The 25,996-nt window shown below is 42.1% G+C and overlaps 1 long non-coding RNA gene across 1 annotated transcript, besides 6 other annotated features; it reads left to right on the forward strand.

Annotated features, from left to right (window-relative positions):
* Nucleotides 1–710: an enhancer, noted in NCBI's record as "OCT4-NANOG-H3K27ac-H3K4me1 hESC enhancer chr2:64454691-64455400 (GRCh37/hg19 assembly coordinates)". NCBI's record gives its function as "activates a minimal SCP1, AML or CMV promoter by ChIP-STARR-seq in naive H9 embryonic stem cells {active_cell/tissue: H9 hESC(naive)}" and the evidence as "EXISTENCE:reporter gene assay evidence [ECO:0000049][PMID:30033119]".
* Nucleotides 528–577: an enhancer, noted in NCBI's record as "active region_15885". NCBI's record gives its function as "activates an Ori minimal core promoter by ATAC-STARR-seq in GM12878 lymphoblastoid cells {active_cell/tissue: GM12878}" and the evidence as "EXISTENCE:reporter gene assay evidence [ECO:0000049][PMID:35858748]".
* Nucleotides 711–1,419: an enhancer, noted in NCBI's record as "OCT4-NANOG-H3K27ac-H3K4me1 hESC enhancer chr2:64455401-64456109 (GRCh37/hg19 assembly coordinates)". NCBI's record gives its function as "activates a minimal SCP1, AML or CMV promoter by ChIP-STARR-seq in naive H9 embryonic stem cells {active_cell/tissue: H9 hESC(naive)}" and the evidence as "EXISTENCE:reporter gene assay evidence [ECO:0000049][PMID:30033119]".
* Nucleotides 845–24,975, forward strand: LOC100507006 (uncharacterized). Its single transcript, NR_120420.1, has 5 exons — nt 845–966; nt 1,941–2,084; nt 23,563–23,781; nt 24,245–24,427; nt 24,864–24,975. It is a non-coding gene; the product is annotated as an uncharacterized LOC100507006 (long non-coding RNA).
* Nucleotides 1,068–1,117: an enhancer, noted in NCBI's record as "active region_15886". NCBI's record gives its function as "activates an Ori minimal core promoter by ATAC-STARR-seq in GM12878 lymphoblastoid cells {active_cell/tissue: GM12878}" and the evidence as "EXISTENCE:reporter gene assay evidence [ECO:0000049][PMID:35858748]".
* Nucleotides 24,593–25,294: an enhancer, noted in NCBI's record as "OCT4-NANOG-H3K27ac hESC enhancer chr2:64479283-64479984 (GRCh37/hg19 assembly coordinates)". NCBI's record gives its function as "activates a minimal SCP1, AML or CMV promoter by ChIP-STARR-seq in naive H9 embryonic stem cells {active_cell/tissue: H9 hESC(naive)}" and the evidence as "EXISTENCE:reporter gene assay evidence [ECO:0000049][PMID:30033119]".
* Nucleotides 25,295–25,996: an enhancer, noted in NCBI's record as "NANOG-H3K27ac-H3K4me1 hESC enhancer chr2:64479985-64480686 (GRCh37/hg19 assembly coordinates)". NCBI's record gives its function as "activates a minimal SCP1, AML or CMV promoter by ChIP-STARR-seq in naive H9 embryonic stem cells {active_cell/tissue: H9 hESC(naive)}" and the evidence as "EXISTENCE:reporter gene assay evidence [ECO:0000049][PMID:30033119]".

Consider the following 25,996-nt stretch of genomic DNA (forward strand, 5'->3'; position numbering starts at 1 on the left):
TAGAGGCACTCAATAAAGCTCCAGTAATTTCTGTTAAGTGGATTCTAAAGTAAACACTTTTATGGCCCCAACAACAACAAAAGACAGTGAATCCACTTACTCAAAAGCCCACCTAGTATTATATATAAGTCAGTGAAATGCATTTGGGAACTATCTACTCTTTCAGATGATCTGTGCTGGGAAATCTCTCCATTAATAAAAATAATAGCCAAACTTGAGTGCTAATAAATAGGGTTAATACTTAGTGTCTCAACTAGACCTAAGAGTATATCCATTTTAAAAGTTTTGTTTTTTTTTTTTTAAGTTTCTAGCCCATGACAGACTGACGTATCTAAAAATCATAGATTAGGTAAAGAATGTGTGCAAATTAAAATCCATGCACAGAAACCTATGTGAGAAGAAGGAGCGTTGTCATCGCAGACGTTTAACTGGGTAAGAGTTATGAAGTAAGCACTTAAAATCCAGCTAAAAGCCTACTCTCGGTTGTTTTCATGCTCCCCAGTGCTAGAAAGAGAGCCTGTCTGCGAAACACCAGTAATTGCACGTTGTCTGTGTGAAAGGACATTGAAAGACTCGATAAATTACAAGGAGGGAGGGAGCTAGCTCTCATTGCAAACTTGACCTAGCCTAGATTAGCAACCCGGGATTTGACTTTCCATGTGACCCTTCCTCTTTGTAGTCTTCAAAAGCAAGCCCGTACAAAGCCCGGCTCCTTCCTTCCTTCTAACTCCCTATCAGGAAGCTCCTTCGCCCCTCAAATCCCTTCAGGGGCTTTGAAATCCTGGGCTCCCGAGCCCAAGCTGGGCATGAATATTCATCGGGGGCGTGGCCCCGCCAGCGCGCAGGGCTCCAAGCAGCTGCGACTAGCGGAAAGCGCGCGCCAGCTGCACGCAGGGAAACAGTTCTCATTTTGTGTGCTCGGCTGACTGCACGTCCAGCCTCGGGCCAGCTCGAGACGGCCACATTGTGAGTCTGTGGGAGGGGTTCTACCGAGACGAATGGACTTTTCTGAGGCAGGGCCCAGGAGCTGTAATTCGAGGGGCCTCAGATCTCCCTGCCACCCACCTGCCAGGGCAAGTGAAATTCCACTGAGAAAAAATCAGGCGTATCTATTCTCTTCCAGGAGTTTGTCTCCCTTTTAAGAAACAAATGTCCCTTGTGTGAATGATTGGAGGCTTTTTATCCTCTGGTGGCGCCTCCTTCTTTGCAATTATCTACAATGGAGACTGTTTCTTCTCCCTTCTTAGTGATTACAACTGCTACTTGCATTCTTTTTTTACTTTCAAGATCATGAAGGCATGTTGTCTCTATCTTTCCTCTCCTTCATCCTTTACTTAGTAGTACCGATAGCACTTTTAACTTACGTCTAGTTAAAAGCCAGACATCCTGGATTCAGATTCTAGCTTGACCACTTATAAGCGCCATGAATGTGGCAAGTTAGCCTTTTTTGCATCTGTTTCTTTATCTGCATAAAGCAATAACAATACCACCTACCTCATGGTTTTTTTCCTGAGAATAAATAATTATATACAGTCATGCATTGCTTAAGATCAGAGAAATGTGTCACTGGGCGATCATGAGTTTGTGTGAACATCATAGTGTGTACTTACACAGACTCAGATGGTGTAGCCTTCTACACACCTTGGATATATGGTATAGCCTATTCCTGCTAGGCTACAAACTCGTGCAGCATGTTATGGTACTGAATACTGCAGGCAATTGTAGCACACTGGTAAGTATTTATGTATCTAAACACATCTAAACATAGAAAAAGTACACAGTAAAAATACAGTATTATACTCTTATGGGACCACAATAGTATATTGACTGAAATATTGTTATACAGCACATGACCTTATAAAACATGTTTGAATAGCGCTTGGCATATAGTAACCATTTAGTACATACTAGTTATTAATGTTATTATTTTGATTGGATAGGCCTGGTTGAAGATGGCTGAGCGTAAAACAGAATGCAAGTCAGCTGGAGCACGTACTACTGGAGGCAGAGCCCCATGAGAAGGGGCCAAGAACCCGCACCCATCAAAATCAAGAAGAAAGGCTGAACCCGGAGAGAAAAGGGAGGTGAGCCTGCGGAGGGAGATGGGATGCAGCGGAGGGAATTGGGGTGCAGCGGAGGGAATTGGGGTGCAGCGGAGGGAATTGGGGTGCAGCGGAGGGAATTGGGATGCAGCTGAGAGGGGAGCGCCAGTGGGGAGGTTTTGGGAGCCAAGCCATTAGAGGAAGGATCACACAATGTCCAGAGGTAATGAACACAGAACTTTTTAGTTTGTTTTTAGGTCAGAGTCTCATATCCTGGTCTGCACTCGATGGATTCTTAAAGCAATTGGAACCTCAGGCTGGTCCTGGAGCAAGAGCTGGTCCTTTACTTGGGGCTCTCAGGTTGAGAAGTTTGAGCTCTAGGATTCTCCACTGACCACCTCTCCCTGTCTTTGCTCACTTCCCATCTTTAAACTCCCATTGAACTGGCATGCTATTCTTAGCATGGCACTCAGGCTCTTGACTCCACCCAGTCCTTCTAGTTATATTGGCCATGGTACCTACGTTCTTGTGTCTCCTAGCACTGTCTACCTACCCTCTCTCCACAACACATATTACACCCCCAATCCAACCCATAATTCCCATTGGTTTCCAGGTATGCCAGTCTTCTTACGGTTTCCTAAACATGTCATAGTAGGGAAAATGCTACATGTTCACTACCTCATTTCACCTTCCTAGGCAGATGAGAAGACATCTCCCAGTTTCTTTTTGCAGCTAGGTTGGGACACTGACCAAATTTTTGACAACAAAAAAGTGAGTGGAGGGATATGGCATTCTGGTTCAGGAAGACTAAGAGGGGGTCTGAGTTCTTCATGCTTATTCTCTTTTGTCCATATGCTAGGATGTGCAAAACTCTAACTCAGTGGGTTGTAAAATGGAAGCAGGCTGGGTCCTGAATTTCTGTTGCAGGAAAGCTGACCAATTGGCATAAGACATATATATATATTTTTTTAATGAGCAAAAGCCACTGAGATTATGGGGTTTTATTTGTTACCTCAGCCTGTCCTATTCTATCCTAACAGCACACATACCATGCTTTTTCTTATTTTGGCATCTCTATAGTTACATTATGTCACTTGGAATGCCTCCCTGCATTCCTACCCTGCAGCAAATTGCTACTATCCTTGGATTCTCCTCTGTGATCTTATAGCACCATGCTCAGGTTTCTGGCCTGAGTGATTAGATGAATCTTGGCACCAGTAAGGAAAAAGAAAGGGAGGAAGAGGTGTACATTTGGCAGAGAGAAAGAACTCTGTATGTGCACTATGTGTTTGAGAATGGGACATCCAGGGATATATGGATCTGAAGCTCAAGAGAGAGGTCTGAGCTAGAGATAGGTAGAGGGTTGAGAGTCATGAGCATAGGGGAAGAAGTGGGCAAGATTACCCAGCGAAAGTATGTAAATTAAGATAAGAGAGTGGAAGATGGAAAGGTGAATCTTAGTGGAACACCATCCTTTAAAGGAAGGCAGAAGAAGCAGAGCCCTTATAAATTTCACAGAGTCCCCCTAAGGACATTCAGAATTGAGCGTGAAACCTGGGAAAGCAGAACTAGTTTATTGATCAACATTTACAAATGTGAAACTTAATTTTGAGGAAAACAGGGTATACTGCAATTGAAGCTGTTGAGTAGACCCAAAAATGCCTTTGAAGGTGGAATTGCTCACCTTTGTTACTGAGAAAACTCCCGGGCAAAAGTTTAGTTTTGATCATGTTAAAGGTAAATTAAAAGCTGACCTTGGCTTTTATATTCCTGGCTTTCCTCAACCTGAAGTCTTCTGACTTCTCTGAACCTAAAGGAATGAGAAAGTTGCAAGGATTTGTAACCGGCTATTGGAATTAATTGTGCTCACTAGCCTATATTTTGTTTTGCTTTTTTCTCCATGTGTTTGCTTTTTGGATGTAATTCTTAAATTGTCTAAATGGTCACCTTTTGTTGTTGTTATTCTTTAAATGGTACCTGGACAGCTATGATGGGTCAAGAGAGAGAATTGCTTTATACTACAAGGCTATCAGAAGATCACTGAGGTTGTAGTGAGCCGATATCGCTCCACTGCACTCCAGCCTGGGCGACAGTGAGACTGTCGTGAGGAAGGGAATGTGATAATCCAAGAGAGAGATGACAATGGATTGGAACACAGTGGCAGCAGTGGAGGTAGTGAGAAGTGGTTGGATGCAGGATATATTTTGAAGAGGAAGCCAATAAGATTCGGATGTGAGAAAAGAAAAAAAAGTAAGAGGAGTCCAGAAGGACTCTAAAGGTTTTGAATAGAGTCACCATCGACTGAGAGAGTGCAGACTGGGAGTGGAGCTGGCTTCAAAGGGAAGAACAGAAGTCCAAGTTTGGACTTGTTAAGTTTGATACATGAAGCAGGCATCTGGATAAAGGTCTGGAGTTCAAACGGGCGTGGTGGCTCACACTTGTAATCCCAGCACTTTGGGAGGCCGAGGCAGGCAGATCACTTGAGGCCAGGAGTTCGAGACCAGCTGGCCAACATGGCGAAACCCCGTCTCTACTAAAAATACAAAAATTAGCTGGGCGTGGTGGCAGGTGCCTGTAATTCCAGCTACTTGGGAGGCTGAGGCAGGAGAATCACTTGAACATTGGAGGCAGAGGTTGCAGTGAGCCGAGATTGTGCCACTGCACTCCAGCCTGGGTGACAGTGTGGGACTCCATCTCAAAAAAAAAAAAAAAAAAAAAAAAGAGGTCTGGAGTTCAGGAGAGAAGTCTGAGCTGGAGGTGCACATTTGGCAGCTTCTGGTGATATTTAATGATTTAATGCTATGAAACCAGGTGAGATCACCAAGAGGGTGAATAAGGAAGAAAAGGTGCCCGAGGGCTGAGCCCTGGGGCCCTCCAAGATTATGAGGTCAGAGAGAAAAGGCTGGACCAGGGAAGCAGTCTAAGAAGGAATGCCTAGTGAATAGGAGGAAAATGAAGAAAGGGTTTGTGCTGGAAGCCAAGTAAAGAAACAAATTCAGAGGAAAGGGAGTCATCACTGTGTCGGATGCTACTGACACACACCTCAGATGTGACCTGAGAACTGAGAAATGGACTTAGAAAAGCGTAGGTCAAGCCGGGCAAGGTGGCTCACACCTGGAATCCCAGCCCTTTGGGAGGCCAAGGTGGGCAGACTGCTTGAGGCCAGGAGTTCAAGACCAGCCTGGCCAACATGGCAAAACCCCATCTCTACAAAAGCATACAAAAATTAGCTGGACGTCTTGGCGTGACAAAAATTAGCTGGACTTCTTGGCGTGCGCCTGTAATCTCAGCTTCTTGGGAGGCTGAGGCAAGAGAATCGCTTGAACCTGGGAAGTGGAGGTGGAAGTGAGCTGAGATTGTACCACTGCACTCCAGCCTGGGCGACAGATTGAGACTCCATCTCAATAATAATAATAATAACAATAACAATAACTGAGGTTCTTATAACACTAATATTATTCAACATCTACAGTCTCAGAGATTCTAGGTCCAGATCGTTGGACTGTCTCTCATTCAGAAGTATAACTCCTTTGAAATAAGGTCCTTGTGAAAAAGGGATGGTTTCTCTTTGATATGGAGATACGGATGTTGTCAACTATTACAGTCTCATATAAAATGCCAATGCACTGTGCTGGTTTAATGTAGTTTTTAGTTGGAAAGTGAGAATCCCCAAATGCATTTTTGGTAGCCAGCTCTGTTGCAAATGATGCCACTGGATGTAGCATTAAGTAACTTAACTCTTAAACTTTGGGCATATTCAAGTGCATAGTACATCTGCCCTCAATCTTGGGAGTCTGTCGTAAAATGCAGTCACAGGGTATATGATATACCACTCTCCAGTATGTGGTGTATTTGCTGAATATTATGTATCAGAAGCTCAGAGAGAGAAAGAAAGAGAGAGAGAGCAGACAATTTAGAAAGCCCAGCCTGCTCTGCGTCAAGGGCACTGCTCCAGAGTTAAATCTGCTTGTGAGCTACCAAACAGCATTTTTCTCATACTGAAAAAAACTATCCTTGTAATCTGCAGTTTGAATGACCTGTTCCTGTGTTTATTCATTACTTTAGATCATCAAGTCAGTGGAAACTTTACACGACCTCTGACTGATGCTCTGCTGTTCCTAGTGGAATCATTGTCATAACTAGCATTTTGTTTGTGGCTTTGTACCTGAGTGCCCATTTTGGACCACTCATGATGTTAGGGGCTTATATCACATCTTTACTTTGCACATCAACTCTATGAGACAGTCATTATCATTTTCATTTTAGAGGCGAGGAAACTGAGTCTTGAAGAGGTTAAGTTGCTTCAGGTCATGGCTGGTGAGTAATAGAGCTAGATTCAAAGCCAGGACTGCCTGCTTCCAGAGCTCATGCCCTTCCTTGTGCCATCTTAGAGTTCTTCCTATACAACTTCTCACTTGAACTTGGAGGCTTCTATTTCTTGAGCCACCCTGTGAGAGAGTTTGATGAGTTCATTTTAAATGTTCTCATTTGTGATTCGAGAGAACTGAAAATTCTCTGAATTTAGACTTCAAATTCCATTTATCTTAGCATTCCTGCCTCCTCAGCTCCTGGCCTCGTCGTTGGTGGGCCAGTTCATTGGTGGCTGGTGGATGCTTGTGCCTCGACTCCTGTCTTGGCTGTGCTTCTAACATAGAGGGTAACCTGAGGAGGTCACTCAACCAGTTCATGTCTCTCGTTCTCCAAATATAGTATTAAGAGGGCTTGCCTGGACTAGCCAATTAGGCACTGTACTGCATGTTGGAACTATGAAGCCTATTAATTCAGTCAATTAACATTTACTGAGTGCCTGCAGTGTGCAGAACCCTGGGGCAAGTGGAGGCATGGTATTCCTGACCTGTGGATGTACTATTCTATATATTTCGTTTATTTTTGCACCTCTGTGTGACTCCACCCAACCCCTAAGAATACTCTTATCCCCACCTACATGTTTCTTTTCTTTTCTTTTTTTTTTTTTTTTTTGAGACAGAGTTTCACCTTGTTGCCCAGGCTGGATTGTAATGGCACGATCTCGGCTCACTGCAACCTCTGCCTCCCCGGTTCAAGTGATTCTCCTGCCTCAGCCTCCCAAGTAGCTGGGATTACAGGCATGCAACACCACGCCTGGCTAATTTTGTATTTTTAGTAGAGACAGGGTTTCTCCATGTTGGTCAGGCTGGTCTCGAACTCCCGACCTCAGGTGATCCGCCCGCCTCAGCCTCCCAAAGTGCTGGGATTCCAGGGGTGAACCACAGTGTCCAGCCACATGTTTCTTTAATTTCTCTCTGTGCCAGGATTCACTCCTGAGTACTTTATTATCCTGGCCCACTCTGCTTTGCTTGCAGTGAAACAGCATGGTTTCCTCTTGGCCTTCAGGAAATCCTGTTATAATTCAACCAGTTTTGAAAATGACCTCTTTCTGCTCTACTGAGCTGGTAATGTTTCACTGGGTTAGAGTAGGCCAAGGTCATGTACAGTTCTATACTATTAGCTTAGAGGAGCATACTTTTAAATTTTGATTTCAAACATGTAACCTGACTTAACAGTGGGTCTTCCCACAGTGGGACCATGATAGTGGCAATAGAACTTTCACGTGTTTGGGGCTCTCAGCCAATGCATCCATGAGCCTGAGATAGAGCATTCCTGTGATTCCCAGGTCTGCTCTTCCTTGGTCCTCTGTGCCAACCCATGAAAAAACTGCATGCTATGACCAAATTCAGGATCAAGTTTATCCTGTCTAGAGCCAGCTCTCCAAAGGTGAAATTTTACCTTATTCCTTTGAATCTATTTTCTTGTATTTTTATTTTGGGATCTTTTAGTAACAAGGCAGCTTCCCGAGATTCTGTTGTGAGCAGTTCTGGAGTCGATGGGTATTTTTACATAGGTGTACATTTGCTTCTATTTGTGTGTGTGTTTGTGACCTACCAGAGGAAAGAGCCTCCATTTGCCTGGAAGCCTGGGATGATTTAATCTCTACTATTTGGGTTGCATTAATTAAATGGGGTGGATGTTTCAAATACTTAGCTATCTTAGAGATACAAAGGGAAGGTCTTTGAAGAATCTGTACCGTAGTGAAAGATACGTAAATAGTGTGTGCTGAGAAGAACGAACAGCCCTGTGGGCCAGGAACAAAACTACTGAAAAGAATTGGTGAAGGATTCATCAGCTTTCTAGGAAAAGGGCAGCATGGGTCTTTATTCTTCACTTTGTCAAGTTTGAGTCATGCCCATTTCATAAAGTATTTGGCCTGTGCTAAGTGTGGTTCAAAATGTGATATCCTTGTTTGATATCACAAGGTGACATGAAGCGGTGGATTAAAGGGAAGAAAACTACCATTTTAGAAAAACAACAGCAATTGAACACCTGAACGTACAAAAAAAAATGAGATTACTATTCATCTCTGGAAACCAAGTTTCATCAGAAATAAGAAAACGGAATACAATTTGAGACAAGTTCTTGGCTGTTGGGCTACTTTCAAGATTCCTTGACTATCAGAGCTCTATAGGGGATCCAAATGTAGCCTTAAGGGTTTTGTCTTGTCTGTTAAATTAATTCACCTGACGGCCGGGCCAGTGGCTCAGGCCTATAATCCCAGCACTTTGGGAGGCCAAGGCGGGCGGATCACCTGAGTCAGGAGTTTGAGACCAGCCTGGCCAACATGGTGAGACCCTGTCTCTACTAAAAATACAAAATTAGTTGGGCGTGGTGGCACGCTTGTAATCCCAGCTACTCGGGAGGCTGAGGCAGGAGAATTGTTTGAATCCGGGAGGTGAAGGTTGCAGTGAGCCGAGATCATGCCTCTACACTCTAGCCTGGGCGACAGAGCAAGACCCTGTCTAAAAAAAAAAAGCATGGTGGCTTATGCCTGTAATCCCAGCACTTTGGGAGGCCAAGGCAGGTGGATCACTGGAGGTCAGGAGTTCTAGACCAACCTGGCCAACATGGTGAGACCCCATCTCCACTAAAAATACAGAAGTTAGCCAGGCATGGTGGTGGGTGCCTGTAATCCCAGCTACTTGGGAGGCTGAGGCAGAAGAATCACTTGAACCTGGGAGGTGGAGGTGGCAGTGAGCCGAGATTGTGGCACTGCACTCCAGCCTGGGTGACAGAGCAAGACTCTGTCTCAAAAAAAAAAAAAAAAAAAATTAATTTACCTGACAACATGTAGGTATGAAAGATCAAAGCCAGTTGGGAGGGCTATACAGGCCGGGGACCTATTCATGTTTTCTGAGAGTGGGATCACTTTTTTTTTTTTGAGACAGATTCTTGTTCTGTCACCCAGGCTGGAGTGCAATGGCATGATCTTGGCTCACTGCAGCCTCTGCCTCCTGGGTTCAAGCGATTCTCCTGCCTCAGCCTCCCAAGTAGCTGGGACTATAGGCACATGCCACCAAGCCCAGCTAATTTTTTGTATTTTTAGTAGAGACAGGGTTTCACCGTGTTAGCCGGGATGGTCTCGATCTTCTGACCTCGTGATCCGCCCGCCTCAGCCTCCCAAAGTGCTGAGATTACAGGCGTGAGCCACCGTGCCCAGCCTGGGATCACTTTTTAAAAACAGCTTTTCATGGTGATGACTAACATGACAGAAAGTACGCTATCACAAACAATAATCCTAAACCAAGTTGTTGGATGAGGTTCATTAGCTTTACTTTTTTGACTATGATTATCTGAGATGCAGTTGACTTTAAGAATGGCCACTACTGAAATTCATCCTGCACAGCAAGATTTTCTTTAGGTTTCCTTTAGAAACATCATGGCTCCCTACCTTTTATTTCTAGCATTAACTTTGGAGGCGCTTTTACTCCTCTAGGAGTGCAGCCAAGCTGACCTTCTCAACCCTGAATCCTGTTATTTATGGAATCAGTGATTCTATTCATTATTAATTCACAGTAGGTCTGGCTTCACACTAATTTTAGAAGCTCTTTCCTCTTGTTACCAGGCAAAACAACAAATGGCCTGGTTTGCCTTTTAGGAGGTAAGAAACCAAAAGTACTCAGATATGACCTTTTAAGATTTGTGCTAATCTCGAAGGCTTGAGATCTTTCTTGGAAACATAGTGAAGAGGTCCATGATTGTTTTCTAAGATTATCACTCAATTGAACATATATTAAAACTCCCTGGAATCAGAAAAAAATACCATGACAAGTATCTTCAATATTGAGTCAAGAATGCTTTTTAGGGCCAAGGTGCTGCCATTTCCAGATGGCACCTTCAGAATTTCTTTCAATTTAGCATTACTAACATTTTGCTGCTTTGATTGAAGCAATGGTAAAGCAACTTGAAGAAATGGTAAAGCAATTCAATGTAAATAAATACAAATGCTGTTAAATGTTCATTTTTTGAAGTTGCTAGCTTTGTGCTCTTTGATTTAAAGGAAGGTTATGATCTCAAACCTGGATGAAATATCCTGTGTGAAGCCAGTTTTTCCCATACACAATTGCAAATATTAGGCCCTATAATTTTTTTTTTCTCAAGATGGAGTCTTGCTCTGTCACCCAGGCTTGAATGCAGTGGCGCGATCTCGGCTCACTGCAACCTCCGCCTCCTGAGTTCAAGCAATTCTCCTGCCTCAACCTCCCGAGTAGCTGGGATTACAGGCGCCCACCACCAAACCCAGCTAATTTTTGTATTTTTAGTAGAGACAGAGTTTCACCATGTTGGCCAGGCTGGTCTCAAATTCCTGATCTCCTGATCTGCCCACCTCAGCCTCCTAAAGTGTTGGGATTACAGGCATGAGCCACTGCGCCCAGCCTGGTCCCTGTAATTTAACCCCTTTACTGTATTAAAGCAAATAATTAAGGATGTATGCAAAGATTTAGTTACAAGTTGATACTGGCAAAAATGGGAAGTAAACTAAATGTTCAACTTTAGGAGAATAGTTAAACAAATAACGGCACATGCATACATTAAAATTCTTCTAGCTACTTGAAAAGATGTTGTAGAGGAATATTCAATGACATGATAAGATGACAAGATGTACCGACTAAAAGATGCAGTTTACAAAATAATATAGATAACATTAGTTTTTAACCCTTTTTGGGTCACATACCTCTTCGAGAATCTGAATAAAAATGCGCATTTACCTTGGGCTTCCTAGCTCCCCATCTTTACCCCCAGGAAAGTTGTGTGCTGTTACTTGATTCATGTAGATTCTTACTTGAGAATGGAATCAACACCTGAAGAATTAGCTGTACTGTATTATTTAACATTTTATTTATAACCTTTCAGCAATTTTCATAATCAGCATTATCCAGTCAGAGATGTCTTCCGAATCAGGTCCCAGGCTCTGACAGCCATGTTTTTTTTTAAGATAGATGATTTGTAGTACCTCTCCAAATTGTTTCACAATTTGGAATCTTCCGGTCCTTGCCTATTCACTATTGTAATTTTACAGCAGACTACGTCAGCAATAGCAATTAGAAGACTTAGAAGCTCTATTCTAGCGCTGTTTCCAAAAGAAGTATCTAAAGGCTCTGTTTCTAAGGACTTTATTGTTCTGGTTTTTTTTTGGGTGTGCATGGCCAAGATAGTATTTAAATTTTGGCTATGAACCAACAGGAATCTCTATGGCTATCACTGGGATTGGGGTACAGGAAAGCCAAAACTCTTAAGAGGGATATTTCTCTTTTATAAAGTTATTCCATGATAGGTATGTGCTTCTTAAGCCTTCCTGATGAACCACATCTAATAAGTTCTCTAAATTTTCAAGTATAAAAATCTAATTTCCTTATCATTTAGCAAACCATATTTAAATTAAATGATAGCTTAAAAATTAAAATGTAGACAATTTTTTTTGTTTGAGAAAGAAAACCTTTTGTGAATCTTAAATAAATGTTTTTCCAGTTTCTAGTCATTAAATTTCTTAGGAATGATTTTCAACCAGGATGCTGTATTTCAATTAAAACAAACTGGGCTAAATGCAGTTAGATATCCTGGAACAGAAAGAGGACATTAGCGGAAAAACTAGTGATATCCAAAGTCTGTGGTTTAGTTATTAGAAATGCACCAGTGTTAATTTCTTAGTTTTGACAAATGTACCAAGGTTAAGTAAGATGTTAATATTAAGAGAAACTGAGTGAAGGATTTACAGGAATTCTCTGTACAAATTATTTTATAATTTTTCTATAAATTTAAAATTATTCCAAAGTAAAACATTCATTAAAATGTAAAGCAAATCGGGACATAGATTTCAGGCACCAGAATTGAACTAATTATTACAGTTGATCATTAAGTTTAGTGCCAATCTTAGAAATTAAGATAATGAGGGGTGTGAATAGATTGTATGGTTCTTATAAGAAAAAATAATAGATTCATTACCTTCACTTGAAGTTATAAAATTTTCCAGGTTAAAATTTTAGAAGGAATTTACTGCATAGATGCTTATATAAGAAATCATGAGTAACTTAAACGGTGATATGTTCAATTACTATTTAATTAAAAAACAAATTTTTTTAAAAAAAACTTTTAAGTTCAGGGGTACATGTGCAAGATGTGCAGTTTTGTTACATAAGTAAACTTGCGTCATGGGGGTTTGTTGTACAGGTTATTTCATCACCCAGGTATTATGCGTAGTATCCATTAGTTATTTTTCCTGATCCTCCCCTTCCTCCTACCTGCTACCCTCTAATAGGTCCCAGTGTGTGTTGTTCTCCTGTATGTGTCTATGTATTCTCATCATTTAGCTCCCAATTATAAGTGAGAACATGTGGTATTTAGTTTTCTGTTACTGTGTTAGTTTGCTAAGGATAATAGCCACCAGTTCCATCCATCTCCCTGCCAAGGATATGATCTCATTCTTTTTCATGGCTGCATAGTATTGCATGGTGTATATGTACCACATTTTCTTTATCCAGTCTATCATTGATGGGCATTTAAGTTGATTTCATATCTTTGCTATTGTGAATAGTGCTGCAGTGAACATATGTGTGCATGTGTCTTTATACTATGTAATAGACAATAGAACAATTTAATATACCTTTCAGTATATACTCAGTAATGGGATTGCTGAGTCAAATGGTATTTCTGTCCTTAGGTCTTTGAGGAATTGCCACACTGTCTTCCACAGTGGTTGAACTAATTTACAGTCCCACCAACAGTGTGTTCGTTTTTCTCCACAACCTCACCAGTATCTGTTATTTTTTGACTTTTTAATGATAGTAATTCTAACTGGTGTGAGGTGATATCTCATTGTGGTTTTGATTTGCATTTCTCTAATGATTAGTGATGTTGAGCTTTTTTAAATATGCTTGTTGGCTGCATGTATGTCTTTTTTTTGAGAAGTGTCTGTTCATGTCCTTTGCCCACTTTTTAATGAGGTTTTTTTTTCTTGTAAATTTGTTTAAGTTCCTTATAGATGCTGGATATTAGACCTTTGACAGATGCATAGTTTGCAAAAATGTTCTCCCATTCTGTAGGTTGTCTGTTTACTCTGTTGATAGTTTCTTTTGCTGTGCAGAAGCTCTGTAGTTTAATTAGATCCCATTTGTCAATGTTTGCTTTTGTTGAAATTGCTTTTGGCACCTTCATCATGAAATCTTTGCTCATGCCTGTGTCCTGAATGGTATTGCCTAGGTTGTCTTCCAGTGTTCTTATAGTTTTAGGTTTTATATTTAAGTCTTTAATCTATCTTGAGTTAATTTTTGTATATGATGTAAGGAAGGGGTCCAGTTTCAATTTTCTGCATATGGCTAGCCTGTTATCCCAGCAGCATTTATTGAATGGAGAATCCTTTCCTTATTGGTTTTTTTTGAGTCAAGTTTATTGAAAATCAGATAGTTGTAGTTGTGTGGTCATATTTCTGGGTTCTGTATTCCATTCTGTTGGTCTATGTGTCTGTTCTTCTACCAGTACCATGCTGTTTTGGTTACTGTAGCCCTGTAGTAGTTTGAAGTGGGTAGTGTGATGCTTCTAGCTTTGTTCTTTTTGCTTAGAATTACCTTGGCTATTCAGGCTCTTTTTTTGTTCCATATGAATTTTAAAACAGTTTTTTCTACAGTTTAGAACAGTCTTTAAAAATGGTTCTGTGAAGAATGTCAATGGTAGTTTAAAAGAAATAGCATTGAATCTATAAATTGCTTTGGGCAGTATGGCCCTTTTAATGATATTGATTCTTCCTATCCATGAGTATGGAAGGTTTTTCCATTTATTTGTGTCATCTGTAATTTCTTTGAGCAGTGGTTTGTAATTCTCCTTGTGGAGATCTTTCAATTCCCTTGTTAGCTGTATTCCTAGGTATTTTATTCCTTTTATGGCAATCATGAATGAAAGTTTGTTTGTGATTTGGCTCTTGGCTTGACTGTTGTTGGTATATGGGAATGCTAGCAGTTTTTGCACATCGATTTTGTATCCTGAGACTTTGCTGAAGTTGCTTATGAGCTTAAGAAGCTTTTGGGCTGAGACGATGGGGTTTTCTAGATCTAGGATCATGTCATCTGCAAACAGGGATAGTTTGACTTCCTGTCTTCATATTTGAATGCCTTTTTATTTATTTCTTTTGCTTGATTGCTCTGGCCAGAACTTCCAATACTATGTTGAATAGGAGTGGTGATAGAGGGCATTCTTGTCTTGTGCCAGTTTTCAAGGGGAATGCTTCTGCCTTTTGCCCATTGAATGTGATGTTGGCTGTGTGTTTGTTATATATGGCTCTTATTATTTTGAGATATGTTCCTTCAATACCTAGTTTATTGAGAGTTTTTAATATGAAGGGATGTTTTATTAAAAACCTTTCTGCATCTATTGAGATAATCGTGTGGTTTTTGTCTTTAGTTCTGTTTGTGTGATGAATCACATTTGTTGATTTGCATATGTTGAACCAACCTTGCCTCCCAAGGATAAAGCCTACTTGATCGTAGTGGATAAGCTTTGAAAACAAATGATGTTAAATAGATTTTTAAAAAATTAATCTTCCAAATGTCAAGTACCTAACTTAAAAAAAAAACTCACCCATTATTTTGGCAGAGGGGGTTGGGAGAACTAAGACAATATGCCCTAGGTATATTGCTTTTCAATTATCTTAGCTGAGAAGTTAGAAATATAGAAAGTTAGGATTATTGTTTGGAGAACCTAAATGAATGAAACTAATATATCCTTCAGGCTGTGTCTCTTAACTAAAAGGTATCACAGCTTAATCAGGGAGGGGTCATAAACTTAGTGTTGATTCAAGGGGCACTGATAAGCTTTAGGAAGGGCAATAAAACTGACAAAGATGTATTAATTTAGGAAACTTACAGGTGGTGGGTCATCCCTCTTCTACCCCAAGATAGGCTTCATGAGTCCTATTAAAATAACTTTATTTTTATCCCAAAATGAATTTTTGAATCTGCTTAAATAATTGAAGCAAGCTAATGATTGTGAGTTCTGCACCAATTTGTATGTAACAGGTGATTTTGGCTGAGAAGTTTTTGTAACTATTGCCAGTCAACTACCCAGACCATGAACAAACAAACAAACAAATAAGCACTTAATGTGTTCTTGTAGAATAAGGACTAAACTTAAATCCTGCAAAGGCTCAGTAACTCCTCTGTGGTGGAGAATGCTAGCTGTCTGCCAGAATCAGTGCTTCTATTTCCCAGGCTCCTTTGGAGTTTGGGAGGAATTGATTTGGGCAACTTTCATCCTATTTACTTAAGAGTCATCTCTGGCCCTGGACTGTCCTCTTTCCCTTTCTGGATAGCTGGAATAGAGCAGCCCTGGGAGATGCATGTTGAAGATAGCAAGAGACACTGTCTGTACCAGCTCTCAAAGGACTATGTGGCTCAGAGCTGTCTGCCAACCCTGAGCGAGTCATCTAAGACCAAAATATGACAGAGGCAACCTTCTGCATTCTCTGAGTTAGTGGGTCTTCCATCACAGCTACTTAGCCCACTTTGTCTAATGTACCTTCAAAAAACAGGGATTCTGGCAAATTGTGCTGGGGAGTATGACTTGGACCTATGATCTCCCATCTTTGACCCTAAATCTCTGCTTTAGGACTCACAAAGTCCAGTGTGTCTTTGGGCACATGCCTAAGCCTGCAGCACAGATTCCAACTAACCCAGCCACCTGCGTGGAGGCAAAGTCCATCTCACTCCCCAGGTCAAGGCTGAACAGGGCAGGGAAGAGAATGGTTGGCCTCCCCTTGTGAGAGGACCTTGCTGGTTTTGCTCCTATATGGATAAATGAAGCACAGGGGTGGACAAGAAGAATTTGAACTAGATAGGCTGGAGCCTGTTCCTCCTATTATGAGACATGTAATCCACCATAGATAAGAGTGGGGCTTAGTCAGTGTTAAGCTCTGGCCAACTGGTTCAGCCCTTCCTCCCTTGAGGAGCAACAGCAAGTAGTTAGGGAGAAAACATGGAGATTCCCTCTCCATCATTCCCCAGAAGGGAGGACACAGAAGCTCTATAGAAAAGACCTGGTATAGGGAAGTGTATATTGATTAGGGTGGGAGAAGGGGTAGAGAAAATCTTCCCTTTACTCAAACAAGTCAGCTATCAAATGTGCTTTCCGAGTTGATCTGTTGAATGAGCCTAATTGGTGGCATCCACATCAATATTAGAGAATGTTTGCCAAATATGAGAATTTTGGTTTCACTGTTTGGTAATCCTGGCCTTTTTGAGACACACCCTGTGGGAGAGGACACAGAAGCATTGGATAATAGATGCAAAGGTAATGAATCCCCAGGAAACAGAATCTCAGTCACACCCTGTTCTTTCCCATGTCCTGTGACAGGTTCCTGGGTGACTCACAGGCAGGCCCACCCTAACATTTGTGGGGTTTGAGAGAAAAGTATCAACAGTTATTCAAATGTTTTGAATCAAGCTAACAAATTATAAAATATGTGCTATTCTTTGAACCATGAATTGGAATATTTAGAAAAAGCAAGAAAATTGCCTCTGAACACTACTGCAAAGCAATCTTTAATGCAATAGTCTATTCCATTCATGGTACCTGAGGAAAGGTTGGGCAAGTTGTCTTCTCTTGTGTTTTAGCCACTCAAACCCATAAAACCTCTGCAGCAGTGTCCATCTCTGAAGTCCACAGCAGCAAGATCCACATCTCTGATGGCATTTGGATGTGAGGCAAGAGATGTGGGGAACATTTCCCTGAAGCCTGAACAGAGAAGGTCAGGAGATCTGATGTTTAGGGTCAGGGTCTCAGTTGCAAGAGCTGAGGGACAAAGCTGTCCATGTGTTCTTTAACATTATGTCTTTTTTGTGTTTGTGACATGTGGAGTCCTCCAAAGCATGGTCCCCTCTTGCCTGGGCCTAAGGGCAGTATGTCTTGCACATTCTTTTTGGACGCTTACTTGGAAGATTTCTTGCAGTTGTGAATGGAGCCACTCCTGCTCTGCTGTCTGAGACTGTATATGCTGCTCTGAGAGTGAGCTTTCTTCCTAAGGATTCTTTCATTAGCATCCTGAATGGAGGGCGTTGTCTTTTCTAGTTCCTGATAGCCCTCTTTCTAGGGAACAGGGGACAACAGCCCCAGAGTTAGCTCAGGGGCTATTTGGGCAGCATTATCCTTTGTATTATCTGGAAGCATCCTTCCACACCAACAGTCGGCCAGAGCACCCAGGCAGAATCTAGGCATCCAAGTTCTCGACCGCTTCCCCAACTTCCCTTCAGTCCCACATATTTCTTTTTCATTCTTTTCCTTCAGGGCTGACTGAGTCCTCCAGCAAATACACAGGGCTCCTACTCTCCACCCCAGTAGCCAAATACCTGAACTGGGCCTGCAGATTACCATGGCCCCTTCCCCATCCCCCATTTCCACAGTTTATGCTCAACTACATTGTCTCCAAATAATCAGACAACAGGTACAACTGCTTCATAAAGCTGTTGCAATTCCCTAGTGATAAACTCACATCAGCACCAGGGAAGATGCTTGTCTTTCTATTCCCAATGGCTGGAGGGCATCAATCTAACCCTCCCAATGGTTATGGCAAATACCAAATGCTCCCCAATGGGGCTATGTCCTGATAAGTCTATTTAAGTTGAAAAAAAATTAAGTCAAAAATGCATTTAATGCACGGAACTTACTAAACATCATAGCTTAGCCTATCCTACATTAAAAGTGCTCAGAACACTTACATTAGCCTATAGTTGTGCAAAATCGTTTAACACAAAGCCTATAATAGTGCTGAGTATCTCGTGAAATTTATTCAATACTGTACTGAAAATGAAAAACAGAATGGCTGTATGTGCACTCAAAGTATGATTTCTACTGAACGCATATGGCTTTTCCACTATCCCAAATGCCAAAAAAAGGAAATTCCTGCAAGTTGGGGACTGTTTATAATTTACACAGATGTTTAAAAGAATGGGAGGGACTAACATAGGCTCTGCTTTACATCATTTAAAATCGGGATTTCCTTTTGTCAAAAGGTTATTTCTACCTACTCTAGATTTGGGCAAGTACATTTACACAGGATTTATAGGATTTATAGCCCAAAATGTACACCATGATTATTCAGGTGTTTTTTGTTTTTGAACTCAAAGACTAACCTGCAGAAGACCTGCAGATACTGAGACAAAGATGACACTGTCCTTAACCACAACTTTCTTGAAATGCAGTAGAACATGATCATAAGGGCAACCCATCATCCTTGAGCCTAAATGTAGTATTTAATATCATTAGACTAGGGGTTTGTCCTTGAGTATGTTGAGAAGAAAGCTGATGTTCAATTTTGAGGGAAAAATAGAAGACTTCACTCGAAAATTGGTGAGTAGGATGACTCCTTTTTGGAGATGGGGTTGATTGTACTTCAGTTTTTTCCTGAGGAGTCCATACATATGTAATTAATTAGGATAGTTCAGCAAGGATTGATATCCAATTAGAATGCTACATTCCAATTTTGACCATCTCCTGGTTCATTTCTGTATGTATTTTGCTTTTAAAATAATAATTGAGCAAAATAATAATTGAACTTGGTATGTTCCAGGCACTATAGTAGGCTCTTTCCCAATGTAATAACTTACTTATTCCTGACCAAAAAACTTCTGTAAGATAGGTTTAATTGTGTTCATTTGACAGGTGATGGAGCTAAAGGTAGAAGAGGGTAGTCACGTGCCAAAAATCTCACAAGTAACAAATCTCAGAGCTGGAATTTGAGCTTGCAGCTCTATGGTCCCAGAACCTTTTGCACTAAGTCATACTGCCTTCTACAGTATTTGCAAATACACAGGTGCCTGGTCTAAACAACTCATGCTAAGGGAGTTCAGGTCTGGGGTGATCAACAGAAGTTTCACTGCAAAGGTAAACTAGGAGGTGAGAGCTAGTCCTGATATTAGGTAACACAGATCCATTTGAATACAGGAAAACATTTGCTTCCCAGAAAGTCTAGCCTGGGTAGAAACTGCCTTGGACTGTGTCAGAATGCCAGGTCCTATGGCATGTTGGTTTCATGTTCATGGGTAAAGTTAGGCTGGAGTTTTGTTTTTAATTCAGGAATCCAAAAAACGTCTTTTTTCTTTTTTTTTTTTTTTCTGTTTAGGTTTATATTTGCTTCTGGGGCAAAGCACTGGAATGAATGTGATGCAGCTGAGAAAGAATAGCAGCTTTAATATAAGCCTGCTTTTTCCTCCCTGCCAGGCCAAAAGTTTCAGCAGAACACTCCAGTGCTCTGATTCCATTCAGTTACAGCTCCTCACCATTCAGAAGCCAAAACTCAAGAGACAAGAATTGGTGGGAGCAAAAGCAGGTTTATTTGGAGGGCCAGCAAACTGAGAAGAGGGTAGACTAGTATCCTAAAGCACCATCCTAAGTCAGTACAAATTTTAGGCTCTTTTTATGTTAAGAACATGGGAAAAGGAGGAGGTCAAAATCAAGAGGTAACCAGTGATCACAGACATCTGCATGTCAGTGAGGGTCTGAGAAGGTTGGGAATTTCTTTGTCCTTGGTCAGATCACAATGCTTCTATAAACGTTTAACAAAACATAGTTGTTTACATACTTCTCCTTTAATCCCAGAGTTAGTTTAAAAAACTACAGGATTGCTGTTTTTGCATATTATCTCAGTGTTCTAAAATTATCCTAGCCTACTTGCAGGAATGGGTAGAGGCCCCTTCAACAAAAATGGAGTTAGTTTTGTTAGTTCTTTTGCTGTTTCATTGTTACACATTTGCTTTGGGCACACAGCTTTGGTCCCCCTATCCCCTATTTCAACTCTCCTGGGGTTCTCCATGTAACAAAACACCTTACCTGTGAGTTTTATGTCAACAGGGAAACGTTTAGAGAATAGTATGTGTTCTACAACTTTTGGCAACATGAACCTTTGTGAGCAGGACATTAACATTTCCTTTTCCATCATTGTTGAACTAATTTTGTGGTGCAAAATAGAGGGGATGATGATGTCACCTTGGGGATGAGAAGTGGAACTGTGAAGCAAGTTCCTCAGGGCCTCCACACACCTGCCTAGCTCTCCCCACAGGGCTCTGCATTCTTGGAAATGATCAGAACTTTCACTGAGGTTTTTTTTTTTTTTATGTTTCCTTATATCACCTCCTGATTTTATATGTATTCCATGTTTCTTTATAGCATGTGAATTAATCTTATTGTAGAGAGAGGAGGTGCAATGTAACAGTTAAAAACAGGGACCATTGTGGAAGACAGTGTGGCGATTCCTCAAAGACCTAGAGACAGAAATACCATTTGACCCAGAAATCCCATTACTGGGTACATACCTAAAGGAATATAAATCATTCTATTCTATTATAAAGATACGTGCATGCATATGTTTCTTGTAGCACTGTTCACAGTAGCAATGACATGGAGTCAACCTAAATGTCCATCAATGATAGACTGGATAAAGAAAATGTGGTACATATACACCATGGAATACTATGCAGCCATAAAAAGGAATGAGATCATGCCCTTTGCAGGGACATGGATGGAGCTGGAAGCTATTATCTTCAGCAAAAGAATGCAGGAACAGAAAACCAAATACTGGATGTTCTCACGTGTAAGTGGGAGTTGAATGATGAGAACACATGGACACAGGGAGGGGAACAACAGACACTGGGCCCTGCCAGAGACTGAAGGAGGGAGAGCAACAGGAAGAATAGCTAATGCATGCTGGGCTTTACCTAGGTAGTTAGATGATCTGTGCAACAAACCACCATGGCACACGTTTACTTATATAACAAACCTGCACATCCTACACATGTGCCCCTGAACTTAAAATAAAAGCTGGAAATTAGAAAAAAAAATGCAGGGATTATGGAGGCAACCAGATCATTTCTGTCATTTTCTAGTTGTACGGCCTTGGGTAAGTTACTCAATTTCTCTGTAAATAGTCTATAAAATGGGGAGGTAATTCCTCCCATCCAGGTTTGCTAAGAGGCTTAAATGTAAAACTGTATGCCAGCCCTTAGCAAAATGCGTACTACATTGTAAATGCTCAAAAAGCGGTAGTGATTATTGTTATTGGTTTGTCTTTCATGTTTCTAGTTTCTTGGTGAGAGAGTCATGACTATTTTTTTTTCTTCAACAGCAAGATTGATGACAATGTCTGTGTCTACACCAGCATTTCCTAATTGCCGATATAGGCCATGGAAGCAAAATGTTCTTGCCTTTGGTTTTCCCCTCCCTGCCTTGTTTCTGGGTGGTCTTTCCCCTCTCCCACTTCATCTCTTCTTCCACTCCTTACCCTCCACCACCAGATTCAGTGTAGAGAATATGGGCATGCTGTTACCAGTGTTCAGCATAATTTTAATGGAAAAATGCTATTCTTCATAATCCCACAATACTAGGCTGCTTCTGTTAACCAAAAACTATTTATTGTATAGACCAAAAAACATCTGGTGACTGAATTTTCTCTATTTTTTTTCAATCAGTCATGCAATATACACTTAATACAACTCTGAGACTCCTTGATAACAAACTAGCAAAAATGAGGATAAAACACTTTACAGACTAAAAATTCCATTTAAATCTTTGTTTTTGATCCAAGCACATACAGGGGTAGGAATGCTGAATGTTCAAAAGAGTTGTTTCTATACCCAAGAGAAGTGGCCTGGAAGGGAGGGAGAGGTCATCATCAATGAGGTGTCATTGGCAGTCACGCTGACATGGTCTCAGCCATACTTGCTGATTCCCTTGGAAGGGTGGCTCCACTCGGGGCACTGCTCAGGGTCTGGGTCAGCTCACCCCCACTCTCTATTCCTGCTGTGGCTGTCTGCACAGCCACGCCATCAGCCCAGCCATTCCTCTTCCCTTCCCAGAGAATTCATGCTTTCCTGGCACTTAGAAGCGGTGGTAGTTCTGGAAAAGGAAGCCAAAGTGAGATAGAGAGTGTAGAGCCCAGTGTGGGAGTCACTGCATGAGTAAGTCTGGGTTCAAGTCTAGGCTCTAATGCGTCCTGGCTGGGAGCCTCTGAGTAAATAATTTAGCTTCTTGAGCCCTACTATCTGTAAAACAGTGCTTCCTTTATTCATCGTTAGATATTGAGTGAGTACTTACTGCATGCCAGCACTGTTCTAGGTGCTCACTGGTGCTAGGGATGGGGGTTAGGGGCTATGGGTATAGAGAGTCCAGTTTTAAAATAAGTCAGAGAAGAATTCACTGAGAAGGTGACATCTGAGTAGACACTTGAATGAAGTGAGGGTCTCTGGGGGAAGAATGTTCTGCAAGAGGTAGCTAGTGCAAAGGCCCTGTGGTAGGAAGGAGCCTGATGTGCTAGAAGCCCAGTGAGGGCGCCAGTGTGGCTAGAGCAGTTGAGAGAAGCAGACAATAGCAGCAGATGGGTCAGCTCCCTAGCCAAGGTGTGTGAAGCCGTGTAGTCCTGGGAAGGATTGGGCTTTTACATTGAGATAGGATGGGAAGTCATTGGAGGGTTGTGAGCCAAGGACTTATGTTTTGCAAGGGTCACTCTGGTTGCTGTGTTGAGAATAGACCATAGGCAAGCCTACCCAGGAAGCAGGGAAACGGGTTAGGAGGCTATTGCCTCTGCGTGACAGGTGGTGGAGTGGACCAGGGTGTAGCTGTGGAGGTGGTGAGAAAAGGCTGAATTCTGGAGATAGCTTGAAGGAAGAATGAATAGCATTTCTGATGGAGTGGATGTGGGTGTGAGAGAAAGAAAATAGGAGAACTCAGAGGTTTTTGGCCTGAACAATTGGAAGAATTGTGTAGCTATTAACTGAGATGGGAAAGCCGGGGGAGGAAGGGATGGGAGATAGATGGAGAACTTGATGATAATAATAATTTTGCCCTGCCTCCCTCACAGGACTAAATGTGATGATTTATGTGTAATTTACCCCGCCAATATGCTCTGTGGTTACTGGTATTCAAAGGGCCCTCTCCTTCCTATGCAGAAGCAGTCTGTTCCCTGGACATGCTCCTCTCTCTCAGTCCTCAGGTGGTGCCAGTTGGTGGGGGAGAATGTTCCTGGCATGTGGACTTGAATCTGGCAGGTATCATCTGAGCTATGTTTAGGTGGATATTTTGGGATAGGTCCTCACAAATGTGACTCAAGTATGACTTAACAGTTAATATCTTTATTTCTCCCTAACAGAATATTGTTTCTAATTTTTCTTTTATATAGCAACTGATGTTGCCATGCAGATCCCTTGGTTGCTATGAGATGGTAACATCACTCTGCCCCACCATTGGCCAGTGCCTCCTCAGCTGCGGTGCCTCCCAGGCTGTGTGGTTCTCACGCGGGCCACTGACACAGAGCTGTTACTATGGTGAACTTTACAATTTCCTTTGATTGGTGGATTTCAGAAATAGGCCATCAGCGGAATTCATTATATTCAGCTAAGTAAAAATGAAAAATAAATACTATAACTTTCCCCTCATCACTAACATGAAGGAAACGTGACCCTTCATGACATAATAAATCGCTGTTCGGTAACTTAGGATCCTTCAGGGGACTGAAGCGGGATGATCCTCCTATGCCAAATTTGGGTGGGAAAGATATTCCCTGTAGCTTTGAGTCGACTCTTCAGAGTTAAGGGCAGTGGGCCAACCAGAGTTGGAACTTCAGAGTTGGGAGGAGGTGTGGGATGGGGCATGCATTGAAATGTAAACTCTATTGTCTCTGAAGTGATGGGTGATGCTGGGGGCCTGAGTGTGGAGGGCAGTTTTACATCTCAGGACAATGTTTTCTCAGATGCTCTTCCAGAAAGAAAAGCCAGGAGTACTCCTGGCTGGAGGCGGCATGCCTGAGGTCAGAGTCAAAGTAGGGTTTGTGCTGTCTGAATCCTTTCTCCCACTCTCCCCAGCCTGGCTCAGCTTCTCAGCTTCTCAGGTGGATTGGTGAGTCCTGGCCAATTACGCTTCAGCTCATCTCTACTCTCAGCAAATAGGAAAAGGGAGTGAAGGACTGAGTTTTAACTCTTCTAATTTCGTAACCTGACTCTCTATAAGAAAAAGTAGGAGAAAGACTGAAGAACCCGAGAGAACAGGTGAATTATTTTAAGTGCATCAGATCTACCTTTCTAACAAGTCTTGTTTGGAGTGATGGGGGTGTGGGTGGGGGAGGGGAGGGGAAGGCCCAGGCTAAAGGGAGGAAGAGAGTCAGGGAACCACAAAAACAAAGCAGGTAACAGATTGGAAGCCCTAGGGCTAGTGTTTGACACCCAGACTACATCAGTTTTAAAACCTCTTTGCTCTATATAATAAAGCTGTTTTTAGTAATAATCACAACATGAAATGAAAATAATGATGGCCAGAAATGTTCTTTTATGAAATTTTGTGTCGTATCAATAAAAACTAAAAATACAGTAAATGCTACAATCCAAAAAGGAAAGAAAGTTATAGTATAATATTTTTAGTTTCATTAGTGTATTTTTTGAATAAAGGGATGAAAACTTATACCTACATATTGGTCTTTCATGTCAGGCCTCTGAGCCCAAGCCAAGCCATCGCATCCCCTGTGACTTGCCCGTATATATGCCCAGATGGCCTGAAGTAACTGAAGAATCACAAAAGAAGTGAATATGCCTTGCCCCACCTTGACTGATGACATTCCACCACAAAAGAAGTGTAAATGGCCGGTCCTTGCCTTAACTGATGACATTACCTTGTGAAAGTCCTTTTCCTGGCTCATCCTGGCTCAAAAAGCACCCCCACTGAGCATCTTGCGACTCCCACTCCTGCCCACTGAGCACCTTGTGACCCCCACTCCTGCCTGCCAGAGAACAAACCCCCTTTGACTGTAATTTTCCTTTACCTACCCAAATCCTATAAAACGGCTCCACCCTTATCTCCTTTTGCTGACTCTCTTTTCTGACTCAGCCCGCCTGCACCCAGGAGATTAAAAGCTTTATTGCTCACACAAAGCCTGTTTGGTGGTCTCTTCACATGGATATGCATGAAATTTGGTGCCGTGACTCGGATCGGGGGACCTCCCTTGGGAGATCAATCCCCTGTCCTCCTGCTCTTTGCTCCGTGAGAAAGATCCACCTACGACCTCAGGTCCTCAGACCGACCAGCCCAAGAAACATCTCACCAATTTCAAATCCAGTAAGCAGCCTCTTTTTACTCTCTTCTCCAACGTCCCTCACTACCCCTCAACCTCTTTCTCCTTTCAATCTTGGTGCCACACTTCAATCTCTCCCCTCTCTTAATTTCAATTCCTTTCATTTTCTGGTAGAGACAAAAGAGACACGTTTTATCCATGAACCCAAAACTCCGGCGCCGGTCACGGAAGGCAGCCTTCCCTTGGTGTTTAATCATTGCAGGGACGCCTCTCTGATTATACACTCACGTTTCAAGGGTGTCAGACCACGCAGGGACACCTGCCTTGGTCCTTCACCCTTAGCGGCAAGTCCCGCTTTCCTGGGGCAGGGGCAAGTACCCCTCAACCCCTTCTTCACCTGCAGCGGCAAGTCCCGCTTTCCTGGGGCAGGGGCAAGTACCCCTCAACCCCTTCTCCTTCACCCTCAGCGGCAAGTCCTGCTTTCCTGGGGCAGGGCCAAGTACCCCTCAACCCCTTCTCCTTCACGCTCAGTGGCAAGTCCCGCTTTCCTAGG

This window comes from Homo sapiens, chromosome 2 (assembly GCF_000001405.40).
Source record: "Homo sapiens chromosome 2, GRCh38.p14 Primary Assembly".
Lineage (NCBI taxonomy): Eukaryota > Metazoa > Chordata > Mammalia > Primates > Hominidae > Homo > Homo sapiens.